This window comes from Homo sapiens, chromosome 21 (genome assembly GCF_000001405.40).
Source record: "Homo sapiens chromosome 21, GRCh38.p14 Primary Assembly".
Lineage (NCBI taxonomy): Eukaryota > Metazoa > Chordata > Mammalia > Primates > Hominidae > Homo > Homo sapiens.
The window spans coordinates 29,616,009-29,632,859 of record NC_000021.9 but is presented as its reverse complement, the minus strand read 5'-3'; the positions used below and the strand labels follow the sequence as shown (position 1 = coordinate 29,632,859).

General features: G+C 38.3%; 1 protein-coding gene and 1 long non-coding RNA gene across 14 annotated transcripts in view; one reads left to right on the top strand and one right to left on the bottom strand.

The window, feature by feature from the left end:
* GRIK1 (glutamate ionotropic receptor kainate type subunit 1) overlaps nucleotides 1-16,851 on the top strand; it is a 403,064-nt gene that overhangs the window by 307,137 nt on the left and 79,076 nt on the right. The gene's annotated exons all lie outside the window — the stretch shown is intronic.
* Nucleotides 2,113-16,851, bottom strand: part of GRIK1-AS2 (GRIK1 antisense RNA 2) — a 34,708-nt gene continuing 19,969 nt past the window's right edge. Inside the window, exon 3 of the long non-coding RNA NR_033368.1 lies at nucleotides 2,113-2,321. This is a non-coding gene — a long non-coding RNA (GRIK1 antisense RNA 2). The remainder of the gene's footprint in view (nucleotides 2,322-16,851) is intronic.

Sequence of the window (16,851 nt, the reverse complement as noted above, 5' to 3'; positions counted from 1 at the left end):
GAAATGTTGCAAGGGAGTGTTGGCCTCAGATGAAGGTTTCTGCCAAACTCTTCTTAGTTTATATGATTCTAAATAACATTGATATTTATAAAATAGCATCAGGGACTCATGTCAATTATTCTTGTTTTCCCATTCAACTACTAATGTCCTGGTTCTACCCCACATTGATTAAAGAATTTGCTTTTATACAGTCTGTGATATATGTGTGTATGTATGTGTACACAGGTGCACACATGTTTAATTTACTTAGATGAATATCATTTTACACATATATATATACATATTTATGGAGGGAAGTGAGGATATACATGTTTTGTGAGACCGTGTGTGTGTGTGTGTGTGTGTGTATTTGTGTCTGTATCTATTTCTTTAACAGTGTGCTTTCGCAATTATCTCAAGGTTTGAATTATATCTAAGTTGGTACATATTATTTATCCAGTTCATTCATTTTTCACTAAAATCTAGTATTCTATAATTAATCCATTCCAAAAGTATTTACTGAATACCTAGTATGTGGCAGACACTCTTTTAGACACCAAGAATGCAATCAGGAGCAAAGAAAAGTCCTCACTCTCATGAAACTTATACTCTAGTCAGGGAAATCAGACAAGGATCATTGAAAAAACAAAGCTCAGAAGAGGGAAGGGCATACCATACAATGCCCTTAAGAGGGAAATGGGCATTGCTATATTATAAAACTTCTCACAGATAACATGGAACTTGAATAAATCTCTGAAAGAAAATAGGGAGCAAAGCATGCAAATATTAAGAAGATGAAAGATCCAAGTAGAGGGAACAACTTATGCATTGAATACACATCAGTGTACTTGTCCAATCCCTTCTGCATGGATATTTTGGCTGCCTCTTTTTTTTTTCCTGCACATTCACACAATGCTTCATTACTTAATTACTTAAATTGAACATTTAAGTAATAGGCTCTCATGCACAAATCCAAGATTTGCTCTAGAGAAGCACTGTTGCATTGTCCAATAAAAAGATAATGTGAGTTGCATATATATTAGAGTTTTTAGTAGCCACATTGAAAGTAAAAGACAGGTGGAATTAATTTTAATAACTTATTTTATTTAACCCAGTATATCCAAAATATTAGCATTTCATAATGTCATCAATATTCAAATTATTAATGAGCAATTGTACTTTTTTTCATAAGTCTTTTTAATCCACTGTGTCTTTTACACTTATGGTACATCTCAGTTCTGACTAGCCACATTTCAAGTGCTCAACAGCCACCTCCAGCTACCATAATGAACAGCTGTCTTAGCTTGGGCTGCTATAACAAAATCCTTTAGACTGGGTGGCTTAAACAAAAGGCATTTATTTCTCATAGTTCTGGAGGCTAAAAAGTCCATGATCAAAGTGCCATCATGGTCAAGTTCCAGTGAGGGCCCTCTTCTTGGCTTGTAGATGGTTATCTTTCCATTGTATTCTCACATAATAAAGAGAAGCAGCACTGCTGTATGTCTCTTCTTACAAGGACACTCATCCCACCATGGGGACTCTACCTCATGACCTCATCTAAGCCTAATTTTCATCTAAAGACCTCACCTGCTAGTACCATCACATTGGGGGTTATGGCTTCAACATATAAATGTGGGGGTACACAATTATTCAATCTGTAACAACAACCCAGCTTGAGACCATACACCTAGAAGTAGGACTGCTGCTTGTATGCATTTTTAGCTTTACCAGCATAATAGTTTCCTATTGCTGCATAAAAACTTACCACGAACTGGCTAGGTGCAGTAGCTCAGGCCTGTAATCCCAGCGCTTTGGGAGACTGAGGTGGTCAGATCACTTGAGTTCAGGAGTTCTAGACCAGCCTGAGCAACATGGTGAAACCCCCTCTCTACAAAAAATAAAAAAACAAACAAAAAAAATTAGCTGGGCATAGTAGTGCATGCCTGTGGTCCTAGCTACTCAAGAGGGTGGGAGGATCACTTGAACCCGGGAGGCAGAGGTTGCAAACAGCCATGATCTCGCCACTGCACTCCAGCCTAGGTGACAGAGAGAGAACAAGAGAGCCTGTCTCAAAAACAAAAACAAAAAACAAAACAAAACAAAACAAAAACACACACACACACACAAACTAGGGATGTTAAAACAACAATCATTTATTATCTCAGTTTCTGTAGATGAGAAGTCTGGACAAATTTGCTGTGTTCTCTGCTCAGGGTCCACGAAGCTGAGAAGGGTGTTGGCTGGGGCTGCTGCAGTCTCATTCTAGGTTCAAGGTCCTCTTCCAAGCTCACGTAGTTGTTGGAAGAATTCACTTTTTGCAGACATTATTGGCAGCTTGTTCCCTTAAGACCAGAAGAGAGCAAATCTCTGTTTTCTAAATCCCTTTTTATTAAAGAACTATTTTGATTAGGTCAGCCCTCCCCTGCAGGATAATCGTACTTTTTATTAAGTCAAAGTCAATTGATTACAGATACCTAATTGCATCGCAAAACATTCCTTTCCCTTTGCCATAATCAATAGAATGACACCCACCATATTCTCAGGTCCCACTCACACTCAAGGGGAGGGAATTACAAAGGGCATAGGTCACAGAGGTTCATCTCAGAATTCTGCCTACCACAACTATATAGTGTCAAATTTCTCCATACTATATTTTTCTGTTGCTTCATGGAGATCCCTGGCTTTATGTTCCCTCCATTTTATTTATCTATCTACCTCCTATTGGCTTCTCTTTCTTTTCAAAACCGTCTAGAATACTACCTTTTCAGGAATACCCTTAATTCCTTTTCACCTCATTTTCTGCTACACCCACATAAGAAAAGTCTAATGCTGTGTCAGTACTATAGTGTGCCTTCTCTTTCCCGATGCCCAGGCAAGGATGTATCTCAAAAAATCATCCATCCTTGCAGTTCCACCTCATGGCAAATCCACGGTGTCCAACAGTAGCTAGGCTCCTAGGGCCACCTCTCAATCCTTTTACTTGTGTCTACTCATCTCTTCCATTCCCCTCGGCAATTTATTATTTCACTGGGCCACAATTCAAACTTTACTACCTTCATTCTCAACTTACTGCCAACTTATGTGAGAAAATTGGCCAGGCGCGGTGGCTCACGCCTGTAATCCCAGCACTTTGGGAGGCCGAGGCAGGCAGATCACAAGGTCAGGAGATCGAGACCATCCTGGCTAACACGGTGAAACCCTGTCTCTACTGAAAACACAAAAAATTAGCCGGGCGTGGTGGCGGGCGCCTCTAGTCCCAGCTACTCCGGATGCTGAGGCAGGAGAATCGCTTGAACCTGGGAGGCGGAGTTTGCAGTGAGCTGAGATCCGCCACTGCACTCCAGCCTGGGTGACAGAGCAAGACTCTGTCTCAAAAAAAAAAAGAAAGAAAGAAAATTGAACTTAGTAGGTGTGAACACCTTCAATTTCCAACAACCCATTTAGCAAACTTTTTTCATGCCCATTCTCTTTCTCCAAAATCACAGGATGAGACATTGTGCCTTTTCCTCAGTGTCTACTTGTGCTGCTGTCCATCTTTTTTCCTCTGCTAAGAATGCCCTTTCTGCCACTCCCTCTTCTTCTATGTTGGACTAAACCCAACAGCTCAGCTCAGGCATCACATTTTCCAGAAAGCTTTTGCAAATAGCACACACACACACACACACACACACACACACACACACACATTTCTCCTTTCCTCATTTATCCAAAACTACACTGTGTATATCTTCACCATTGCATTTTTATCATTGTACTATAAATACATTTCTATGTGTCTACCTCTCCAGTACGCATTGCATTTCTTGGAAACAAGAACTGTTAAATTCATTTTATTCACTTAGTACCTAGCTCTCTTCCTGCATATAGTAGGGGCTCAATAAATCTTGGTGACTAAATAAATAAATATTTCTTTAAATATAATATCTCACTCAACCAGACTAACTAGAGCAAGACATGAATTCAACCCATGTGGAATCCATTGTTCATCTTCATAGATAAACCATCCATAAATAACATATTGTTTACCTATAATGATAGGCATCTGGGCAACAAAGACAATTATATGATTAATATGATCAAAGTAATTTGAGTAATTTGAGACTGACTAATCTGATTTTTGGGTTTTATTGACCACATTATCTAGCTAATTAGACAAGAGCCCCATTCCCACCCACTTCACCTATATGAATGTCTCAGGTTTGTGATCCTGCCCATTTAGTTGATTTGCATGTACAGAAGCCAATTTATTCCATTTCAGAAAACAAGCCACCACATGAACCAGAGCCAAACAAAACTAGCTTTTTGTAAAAGAAAACCCAGGTGTGTATTCTAAGATAAATCCTTAGGAAATAAAAACCAGTTTACCCAGAGTACATGGCATAGACATAGTTAAAGTCAGCAGATTTAGAGTTGGAAATCAAATATTGGCAAGAAAAGCTATTATATTTTTAAATTATGCAGTGATCCATGCAAGCTGTTATTGCAAGATAATGGGTTATAAACAGCACACATAATAGTTAAAATAATTATATATTGAACAGATGAACATATGATAAATGCATCATTTCAGTTCCTGAAATAGCTGACATCCTAGGAAGTTGTGTGGTCTAAAGGTTATGTTTATCATTTCTTCCTTTGCTTAATGTTTATTTTCATCACCATTATTGTGTATACTTCAGATTTGTTTTTAAATAACTTTTCTGAGAACTGACTTAAAATTGTGGGTGACCTGACATGGATTACATTGCTTAGATGAAGGGTGAATTTCAGATATTTGTCATTGTACAGTACTCTGTGGACCTGAGAAAGACAGTAATTGTACAGTTATTCCATCAGGGCTATGTTTATACAATAGATACTGAGTGAGCCTTCTTTAATTAAAAACAAATGAAATAATGCCATGATGAATTGCATCTAAGTCTTCTATTCAAAAGTCAGGACTAAGTATAAACAAATTTTTGAAATCCATAAAATGCCTTCTCTGTTCTCTTTTCCTTTTGCTATATTCCCCAAGGGTACCTTGGCCTCTTGATCTTACTCTCAGAAATTCTATACTAAAGTGTTAACAAAAGGAAAGTTTGTTAACCAAATGAATGATTACCTTAATTAATGAGTTATTAATTCATGTTTAAAGGTGTCACTCCTCTCCTGCACATTCACAGGCCAATAGGGAATTCCTAAACTTGGAAAGCCTTCAAAATTCAAAGAAAAATCTCATAAGAGTTGAACTGAGGTGTAAGAACTGATTTGGGAATGCACAGGAATTGAGTCTGACTGCCCCTTCAGTTCCACCACCAAAGAGGTGAAATCATGTGACCTGCTCAAGGCCATGTGTACCAACCCAAATCTTCCATGGAGAGAAAAAGGGACAATGGGGTGATGGTGTGGGGCACGGGAATCTCTTTCTCCCACATTGTAATCCTGTCACCTTTCCTCAGTGTCATTGCCAGCAGAAAGCAGATCCTGATTCCCTAGGTCTTGGTACCTTCCCTCTACTTTTCTCTCATGACTTAAATGTGTGTAACTTTTGGAAGTGCTGCTTTATTCAATTATGCCTTCCACAAATATTTTGGATATCTACCAAATGCTAGTAATGGAATTCAAACGTAAGTAAAATACTTTCCACCATCAAAAAGTTAACAACTAATTGGGAAAGAGAGTGCTAACATGAATAACTGACATAATACATAGTTATTATATATAAGTACATAATAAATGTTTGCAATACAAATAGTTAAGATAATAGCTAGCATAGTTACTGTAATACAAGAACCTGATAAACTATGCTACAGAGGTAACAAGTAGTCCTCTACAGGAACCCAGAGGGTTTATTTAAACCATATTTTCCTGTCTTAAAATATTTTCATCACATAACTCAAATTTTTTACCCTTTGAATTTGTGTAGTAAGTGTTGGAATAGGCCCTCTTACAACTGCAAAACTCCTGAAATGTGATTTGATCACCATTTCAACATGCAACATTTGTTTTCAAATACTGCATTGCTAATGGAACCCATTCTTCAGGCATCCAGGGCAAAAAGGAAGACTCCTTGCCAGAGGTTCATATTGAAAATATGCTGGGTGATTCATTTAGTATAACTGATTGTTCTTCACAATTTCCAGGCTAGAAATAGTGTGCTCATCAACACATACAAAAACCAATGGTGCTAAACATTGACATCCACCAGTAAAATTATGACTGGAGTGCATGAATCAATTAGCAAAAACTAGAGAGAGAATTGTCAAACAGTGCCCTATTAATACAAGTTCTATTTGAAATACAAATAAAAGGAGAAGTGATGCTGGAAGCCCAGCATCAAGGTGTCACCAAGTTTGGTTTTTTCTGAGACCTCTCTCCCTGACTTGAGATGGCCACCTTCTTGCTGTGTCCTCCCCTGGTGTTTTCTTCATGTGTTCATCTCTGGCAATGTTTCTTCTTATAAAGACACCGTTCACCCTGGATGTTACGATTTGAATGTGTCCCCCAGAGTTCATGTGTTGGAAACTTAATCCCCAATGCAACAGCGTTAAGTGGTGGGACCTTCAGCAGGTGATTAAAGCATGGGACTCTGCCCTCATGAATGGATTACTGCTGTTATCCATACCTGATAAAAGAATGAGTTTGGTCCCCCGTCTCTCATGTGCATGCATTCTCTGATGCTCTTTTGCCCTTCCACGTTCCACCATGAGATGACTTAGCAAAAAGGCCCTCACCAGATGCTGGCACCTTAATGTTAGACCTCCCAGCCTCCAAGCCTGTGATAAACAAATTTCTTTTTAAAAATAAATTAGTCTGTGGTATTTTGTTACAGCAATACAAATGGACTAAGATATTGGATTAGGGCCCTATTTTTATGACCTCATTTAACCCTAATTACCTCTATAAAGGCCCTGTCTCCAAATATAGTCACATTCTAAGCTGCTGGGGGTTAGGGCTTCAACATACAAATTTGGGGGGACACAACTTTGCCCATAACTTTACTCATATTCACTCTTCAGGGGTACAACCATTTAATTAAAGGACAAATAGTCATGCATAACATTCACTAGGATGACTCTGAAACATTCACTTTGCAATCAATATTGAGCAAGATATACTATGTGCTGGAAGTGCTGGCAGGAATTGTACTAATAAGACAAGAGAGACATGGTCCCTAACTTTGAGGAAGCAGAGTTCAACATGAAGAGAGACATGAAAGCAAATATGTGCATTACATATTTGCATACATTTGGTCACATTATAACAGATATGGGGGAGTGCTTGTCAGGGACAATAGAGTTCTTCCACCTCAGTACTTAAGTTACTTTAAAACCTTCTCAGAGGACATGAGGGTTGGCCTCAGCTTTGGAGGATGAATTGGAGAGTGGCAGGCAGCATGGTGGGGAAGAACACTCCACTCTTGGGAACTGGTTGGCGGCTGAATGAAGTATGGTAAGAGGTTAAATGGTATCAGCAGAGGCCAGATAATCAAGGGCCTTCTATGCTCTACTAAGGATCCAGAACAATTCTGTGGGCCAGAGATTCTCACAATTAAGTGTGCACCAAATCACCTGACAAAACCTCTGAAAATGAATTACTTCTCACATTCACTTCCCAGAAACTTAGATGATCTTATGCAAGTTTGAGAAAGATTGCATTTTAGGCATTAAGATAAAGTTAATTATGTTGCCCGTCCTCTACCCCTGTATAATTCAATATAACCAATGGCGTGAGGTATATATTACGATGTGCTTTATATTGCATTATTCACAAGTAAAGCTTCATAACAATCCACAGTACGGAAGATATTAATAGACACATCAATTAACTTAAGGCAAAATAAACATGGCCTCGTGCCCTCCACATGTCAGACTACATAAGGATCTAACAGAGCAACACAGACCTGCTATGAGCTCACCCTGAGGAACAGGAGGTAGTGAGAAGGGAAGAAGAAAGGCCTGGATCAAACTGTTCTTTCTCCCTAATTTCCAGAACAGCAGGAGAGTCAGAGACGTGAGCTGGAGAGTGGATGGGTCTTGCAGAGAAGGAGGGCAAGCCCTCTCCACTAACCTCACACCATTCCTTCTTGGTCCTCCGTAAGCCAAAGCACAGGTTTAGCCCCCAGCCTGGGCTTTAGTCATCTACATTATTAAAATTACAAACTAGTGATTTAAACTTCAAGCTAATTACAACTTGAAAATAATACTTGAATACTGACTTCCTCTATGTGCAGCTTAAGAAGAATCACTCAGAGAAACAGAGGAAAACATTCATTGTTGGCTTTTACTTAAATAGATGATTCTAAGGTTTGCCTTGGAAATTCAGGTTTTGACAAAAGTTATAACTTGAGCTGACCTTTTGGTTATAAATGTTAGAGATTTTCTACTCATTTCTTTTTTTTATTGATTCCATATTAAATACAGCTTTAAAATTTAAGTGGCATGATTAATAAGAGTAAAGGCAATGCCTTTAAAAAATGACTTCTAAAAAATGCCTTTTTCCTCCCTTCTAAATATCTTATACCATTTTTAAATATTCTGCAATGGAAAACAGGCTGGTACTAACATCTAATTACCTAAATCTAGATTCACTCAAGTAGTCTAGTCATGATTTATAACCCAAAAAAGGTTCTAATCAAGGAATGACAGCATTTGTGTTTAAAATTCTTCAGAATAAGAAAGGGAAAAATAAACATTTTTCTGCATCAATACATGTCATGAGTGTAGTCACTGCCAAATATTTTAGAGGACAATTTCAATAATTGCAAGGGATTTAATTTTAAAGGAATAATGAAGATCTTAAGTGTGACAAACTGTTCACTTAATTTTGAACCTCTACTAAGTTTGCTCTGTTCAATGCATTACACATTTTCTTTTCATTACACTATTTTTAGAAATAAAATCATAGCATCATTATACACAAAAAACACGTTCAGCCAAAGATGGCAATTATCCACATTATGTCAACAAGATTTGCCAACAAAACATTTCAAAAATAAAGACAATAAATGAAATTCTCTCTATGAAAGATTACTTTGGCATTAGACAATTATTCTGCAAGTGTTTAGTTGGAGAATCCACACTTTATACTTAGTGAATAGCATGTTGACTCTTATATAGGGTCAAACACCTACTACATTATACCAGTGCTTTCTATTCATTCTATTTTATTTATTTCAGTATGAACTTTTGAAATTAATTATAGCTTATGAAAAACTCAAGCTAAACAATATTCATTTTGAGAGTTATTGAGGTTATTCATGAAATAAGGGTATTTTTAAGCTGGATTTATACATTGAGCAATTAAAGATAAAAACGAAGAAGTAAAGGAAGATAAAATAAACACAAATAACAAAGTCTTTGGAATGAGACAACCTAAGTTAAGCTTGGGTTTCTCATTAACTTATGGTGTCATCTTGGCCTGAAATTCAGCTTCCTATTGATTTTTTTTTTTAAGGAGATTTTTCAAAAGCCTGTCTTGCAGGGTTTGGGTCATAACTAACTGATATGGTTTGGCTGTGTCCCCACCCAAATCTCGAATTATAGTTTCCATAATTCCCATGTGTCATGGGAAGGACCCTGTGAGAGGTAATTGAATCATGAGGGTGGGTCTTTCCCATGCTGTTCTTGTGATAGTGAATAAGTCTCATGAGATCTCATGGTTTTATAGAGGGATTCCCCTGCACATGCTCTCGCTCTTGCCTGCTGCCATATAAGATGTTCCTTTGCTCTTTCTTCATTTTCTGCCATGATTGTGAGGCTTCCCCAGCCATGTGGAACTGCGAGACCATTAAACCTCTTTACTTTATAAATTACCCAATCTCAGGTATGTTTTTATTAGCAGGATGAGAACAGACTGATACAATAACTGAGATGATATATAGTCTGATAGGCAGTCAATTTGTTACCTTCCATCATCCTCCTTCTTATGATCTTATAGTAAGTTTCCACATTGTCTTGAAGATATTATAATTATTACCATGAATAGACAAAGAAACAGCAAATTTGCCAGTTGGGAATAAAATTTTAGTAAATTATGGATTCACATATCATAAGATATAGTAGAGGTCAGTTTCCCTAGAGGGACAGCCTAAGATGGGGAATCTTGTGCAAGTGACCTATTGAGGAAGCGCTCTCAGGAGAAATGAGTAATGGAGTAAGGAAGGTTGGATAAGACAGAGGAAGAAACTAGGAGAAATCAAATATTAGCCATATCCCACAGGGGACCTTTAGAACATAAATTTTCATCCAAATGTGCATGGTCCCCCTAGGAGGCTAGCATACCCCAGTAGTACTCATTCATTGGCTATTGGTCATCACCCTTCTGGGAATTTGGGACAGGATCTCCCTGGCATCTCAGAACCAGCAGGCTCTTGTAGACCAGGGATAACCAACACTGCCTGTAGCTAGGGCATGAATGTACCAAGCTGGTGGAGGAGAATTTGACAGGACACCAATAGTGACTACTATAGGTAGGAGAAGAAACACTGATTTCAACCATGTAGATTTTATTCTAAAGCATGTCTTCCAACGTAGAGTACTCCCAACTTAAACAAGACCAGAATAGCAATTCAGCTTTTCAAAACAAAATACAAGAACAACTACTTTTTAAAAAGGTTTACTATAGGATTCTTTGAGCAAGAAAATATTCTTAGAGGCCGGGCGTGGTGGCTCAAGCCTGTAATCCCAGCACTTTGGGAGGCTGAGACGGGTGGATCACCTGAGGTCAGGAGTTTGAGACCAGCCTGACAAATATGATGAAACCCCTTCTCTACTAAAAATACAAAAATTAGCCAGGTGTGGTGGCATGCACCTGTAATCCCAGCTACTCAGGAGGCTGAGACAGGAGAATCACTTGAACCTGGGAGGCAGTGGTTGTAGTGAGCTAAGATCGTGCCATTGCACTCCAGCCTGGGCAACAAGAGCGAAACTCCAACTCAAAAAAAAAAAAGAAAAAAGAAGTTATTCTTAGAACACCTCACATATGATTTTATTTATAAATAATTGATTTGCCTACAAATTTAAGGAATTAGAGAATCCATGTGACCTTCTCCAGTAGTGCTATGATCCTGGGAACCTACCAAGTGTAAAGTGGATGTTGTATCTATACTGTGGGGCACTATATTTTACTGATTCTGAAATTAGTACACCCTGACTGATACTTTGAGGCTACTTACTGGGAAAAAAGACCATTTCATACCAGTCTTGTCCTAGAAGTAGGGTAATAAATGATTCTGGTTTTCACCTGGGACTGAGAGTATCTCCCCTGGACATGGGACCTTCCATTTTAAAATCTAGATAATACTGGGCAAATCAGAACTAGATGATCACACTATGTGGAATTTATAGCAAGAGGGTTCACTATTACTACAAAGTAAGAAATTAGCAAATTTGGATCTTTAGCTTGGGACTATATAGATGCATAATTTGCCCATCTGCATTTTGAATTGAGAATGAAACAAAGAGTTTTAGGTTTTAGATCGTCTTCCCCACACACACACACACACACCCCTCAGGCCCAATGAATATTTATATCAATTTTCTAGTTACATAGCAGGATTTCTGTCAGGTGCCACATTTGAGTGTTCTTAGGAAGAAACTGAAAATTCCTACCAGTTCCTATGTGTCATCCCTGACTTCTCTCAACAGGTGTATGAGCAAAGATTTATGATTCAGAAATGATTTTTTAATGTACTGTTATTACTTTCTGTTTCTGACAATTGAGAAACTAGAATTTTGTCTTCTCTTAATTTGAAGGCTGGCTTTCTTCTTTTTAAAATTTAGGAAGGCACATTGTTGGCTAAATTAATTCACAATTGGGTTTAGTCAGTGTCCTCCAAAGCTTATGGTTATGTAGTGCCAAGAAAGAATACTCCAAATTTTAAATTATTTTCCTAGAGCAATATAAGATATATATTTTTTTTCCAAATTCTGTATATGTAGAATTATATAAATAATATATACAGAGAGCATATATAGAATATAGAATTAATTACATATATGATATATATCACACATTGCTCTAGGAAATAATATATATAACTACATATGATATATATTTTATGACTATAATATATTATTACTATATATATATATCTATATATATATAGATATATATATCTATATATATATGACTTTCATACCATTTATGTAACTTAGACTAGAGAAGAAGGTAAAACACATCCTGGTTTTCACTTAACTTCAGTGTCTTTCCCCAAAACATCACCTCACAGCTTTTTTTTTTTCCTTTGGTCCAAGGCAAATTGCTGGTATCTCAGCCTCAGAGAAAATCACAAGTGAGATTTAACTTCAGAAAAGTCCAGCTTATCCTAAAGAGAATGAAAATAGGTGACGATCTCTCTGGAAGCAAGTCTAACGAAGTGCTTTGCCCTCAAAGGGTACAGCATGTCCTCTATTTCAATGAAGTTTAAAGAAAGGCCATGGTGGAAACAAGCCATTTCTTTCAACAAATTGCTTGATTGGCTGCCAATTCTGATTTTATTCTTGCCTTGTAACCTTTCACATGAGATGCCCTCATCCCAGTAAAACTGCTGTAAACCTTGCATGAAATCACCTAGTGATTTGCTGCAAGAAAAAGTCCACTCAGGCAAGAAATACCTGTTACGTCTCAGTTAATATCCAACATTTGAAAACTGCAGAGCTGATACTTGCTTTTACCTGCTGGCCAATTCAAGATGGTCTGGGTCCCTGTCAACATTTAAGCTAGTATGCATGCAGTTACACATCCTAAATTACTTGGCGAATAACTTCTTAACATCATAGGCTTTATACTAGCCTTATACACGCACATCTTTATAAGGAGCCAAGCTTTGCAGATGACACAGCATCTCTAAGGATAGAGGTTGAATCCAATCACTGCACTTAATGGAAATCTCTCAGGAGTAAAGAGAACCGTGACTATCTTTGGTCATCCTTTGATGCTTAGATATGAATAATATTTAGCTCTCATCCTCACAACATTCCTGCACTGTAGATTTTTATATTCCTGCTTGACAAATGGCAAAATAGACCTCAGTTGGTTTGATCAACTTGTCCCTGGTAAAGGTGCAGGTAGATTTGAATCTGGGGCTGTGGGAAACCAAAATCCATGCTGCTTCTGTTGCTGCTTCTGTTCTACCATCATGCCTCCATTAAAGAAATATGTTCAGTGTGTTTAACTGAGAAATTCACCAAGTGGTACAGTATGATCATTGAATATGAGTTTTTCCTTTTCTTAGGTCCTAATTTTATTTTACTTTTCAATTTTTTATTTCCATAAGTTTTAGGGGAACAGGTGGTATTTGGTTACATAAGTAAGTTATTTAGTGGTGATTTGTGAGATTTTGGTCACCCATCACTCAAATAGTATACACGGAACCCAATTTGTAGTATTTTACCGCTCACCCCCTTCCCACTCTTTTCCCCCTGAGTCACCAAAGTCCGTTGAATCATTATTTTTTTTTCTTTTTTGAGACAGTCTCACTGTCATTCAGGCTGGAGTGCAGTGGCACAATCTCGGCTCACTGCAGCCCCTGCCTCTTGGGTTCAAGCAATTCTCCTGCCTCAGCCTCCTGAGTAGCTGGGCCTACAGGTGCACGCTGCCAGACCCGGCTAATTTTTCTATTTTTAGCAGAGACGAGGTTTCACTATGTTGGCCAGGATGGTCTTGATCTCCTGACCTCGTGATCTGCCCGCTTTGGCCTCCCAAAGTGCTGGGACTACAGGCGTGAGGCATCGTGCCCAACCCATTGTATCATTCTTTTTTTTTTTTTTTTTTTTGACGGAGTCTCGCTCTGTTGCCCAGGCTGGAGTGCAGTGGCACAATCTCGGCTCACTGCAAGCTCCGCCTCCTGGGTTCACGCTTTTCTCCTGCCTCAGCCTCCCGAGTAGCTGGGACTACAAGCGCCCACCACCACACCTGGCTAATTTTTGTATTTTTAGTAGAGACGGGGTTTCACCTTGTTAGCCAGGATTGTCTTGATCTCCTGACCTCGTGATCTGCCCACCTCGGCCTCCCAAAGTGCTGGGATTACAGTCGTGAGCCACCGCACCCGGCCCCTTGTATCATTCTTATGGCTTTGCATATTCAGAGCTTAGCTCCCATTTATGAGTGAGAACATACATTGTTTGGTTTTCTATTCCTAAGTTACTTCACTTTAGAATAATGAGTCTCCAGTCTCATCCAGGTTGCTGTGAACGCCATTAATTCATTCCTTTTTATGGCTGAGTAGTATTCCATTGTGCATATATATATCACACTTTCTTTATTCACTCGTTGATTGATGGGCATTTGAGTTCCTTCCATATTTTTGCAATTGTGAATTTGTGCTGCTATAAACATGCATGTGCAGGTATCTTTTTTGTTTCATGACTTATTTTCCTCTGGGTAGATATACAGTAGTCGGCTTGCTGGATCAAGTGGTAGTTCTGCTTTTAGTTCTTTAAGGAATCGCCACGCTGTTTTCCATAGTGGTTGTACTAGTTTACGTTCCCACCAGCAGTGTAGAAGTGTTCCCTTTACATTGCATCCACACCACCATCTACTTTTTTAAATTTTTTTTATTATGGCCATTCTTGCGGGAGTAAGGTGGTATCGCATTGTGGTTTGGATTTGCATTCATGAAGCCCGAATGCCCTGCCCTCAGTGAATCAAAAGTTAATCAGGAGAAGCAGACAAGTAAGCAATCGATTTCATGCAGCCATGTGTACATTAATAGGGATAATTGCAGGAAACTATGGGAACCCTAGGAAGAATGCTAACCCTGTCTCTGAAGTTTAGGTAAGGCTTCTTGGAGGAAGAAATATCAAAGATGAAAGGTGAAGGACAATTAGAGATTATCAAGGTGACACTAAGGGACACTAGGTCATCCTAAGCCTTTCAGTCAGGGTCAATGTGATAAACTGGAACTGAGAGATTAATGAGAATAAGTAGTATCACATGTCAAATGCCACAGAACAATGGAAAGGATATGCAAATGCAAATGAGCATGGAGCAATAAAGAATAAACAGACTTTAAATAAACATATTCTAAATCAAATAAGCCATTGCAAATCCTCAACACTGGTCTATACAATAGCAGCCCAGAAGGCCCTTCAGCATGCCGTTTGGCCTGAAATGCATTAAGGATGCAGAGGAAAATATTTGAATCTGATGTCACACTCCAGGCCTCTGTCAATGTGACATTTTTAAAATACTAAGCAAAATATTGATGGCAGATATAAAATGGTCTCTATTCCCTATGCTAATGAATTGACCATTAAATGGAAATAAGCAGCCTGTTTTAATGTTTAGATGCAAGCGCTTCTGAAAACACTCCTGTCTTGGCACTGGGCCCGGGTACCTGGGGGATGTATGGCGGTTGGGTGGAAGTCCTGTTAGAGGTGACAGCATCAGCACATAACATGCATCTTTTAAGAGCATCACTTTATTAACTTTTTGATTGTTGAGCTCCCACTACACACGGTTTCCAAAATCATTTATATTCAGTACTGATTGCTCAAACTTGCACACGGGAACAATCCATGGCAAGAACTTAAATGGCAACAAGATTGGTGTAAAAAATGTGACACAAGACAAAGAGACTGACTTTCTGCAGCAGCGTTATTGAAGGATGAGGCTTAACACCGTAAAAGAACTAAATTCACTTGCTGCATTCTCTGCACCAAAAGGCAGCAACTCTTCGATTGCTCCCAGGATGTGTGTTTCCTTCTCTGGAAGGTGTTTTATGTTTCTTTTTAATGCCTTGGTAATGACACTATTAAAAATTAAATTGGAAATGTATTTTGATTAATATACTTTCAAGGGAGTTTGCTAATTAGAGATCTGCAAAGCCCATCTTTTATCACTGGTTTTTACTTATTATAAAATGTTTTATACAATGATGGCTGATAGCAAATTTTGCTCCACACCAAGAGAGAGAATGAAACTAAGCTGGATCTAAATGAGAACAAGCCCAACCTATTCTAATTAACATGATTCCATTGAACTGTAATGTTATTGAAACAACTGACTTTTACCATTTCAACTTAATTATTCTACAATAGGCAGAATGTATGTTGCTTCATGCTTAAAGCAATTTTGAAAGCGACATCTTTGAAGTATGGCATCAAGCAGTTTTTTTTCTCACTCACAGTTTGTGAATATTGTTTTAAAACATCATTAAGTCAAATAACCATAGTCTAATTAAGTCTTTTGTAGTTTTGAGGCGGTTTCATGAAATGCCACGGGATTTATTTGACTCTTTTCCTCACTTGACTGAAAGTTCTTGAGAGGCTGAGTGAATTGAAGCCCCAGAATCCTCAGCCTGAGGAAATAAATGCTGAAAAGTATTTGAGTTGAAGTAGTATTGCTTAATGTGATGATAGAAACACGAAACTGAAGGGCTTGCTCAGCAATTCTGCTAAAATATCACGATATTACTTAGGCAAGCCCTATTCCTGTCTTTGTGCTCAGATGGGCACAGCTGCAAAAGGATTAGTTAAGAAGTTGTAAGTAAATGAGCACTTGGAATTTAAATGATAAAAGCCTGTCAAAGAATGATAAAGGACCCCTAGAGCTGAAAGAAAAAGTACATTACTATTTTTTTTAAATCTAAACGTATTTGCTTGATGGACAAGAGAGTACCGTATCCCTCAAGAGATGGGTTCAGTCAGTCTCCTGTGTCTGAAAATAGTTGAGCTAGCAGAAGAGGCCAAAAAGGAGACTTTGTTCCATGTTAGAAGAGTCTCTAAGCACTACAGTCTAACTGATTCACTAGAGAACAGGACATACTTCTTTGGCCATTTTTCTGATTTAACTTTCGAAAGTGCAGTGTTAGCTTTCAAAGAGGTCCAGGATGGGTTCCCAAGGCTGTTGGGTGCTGGATTCAGCCCTTGTTGGGAATTGGGGCAAATT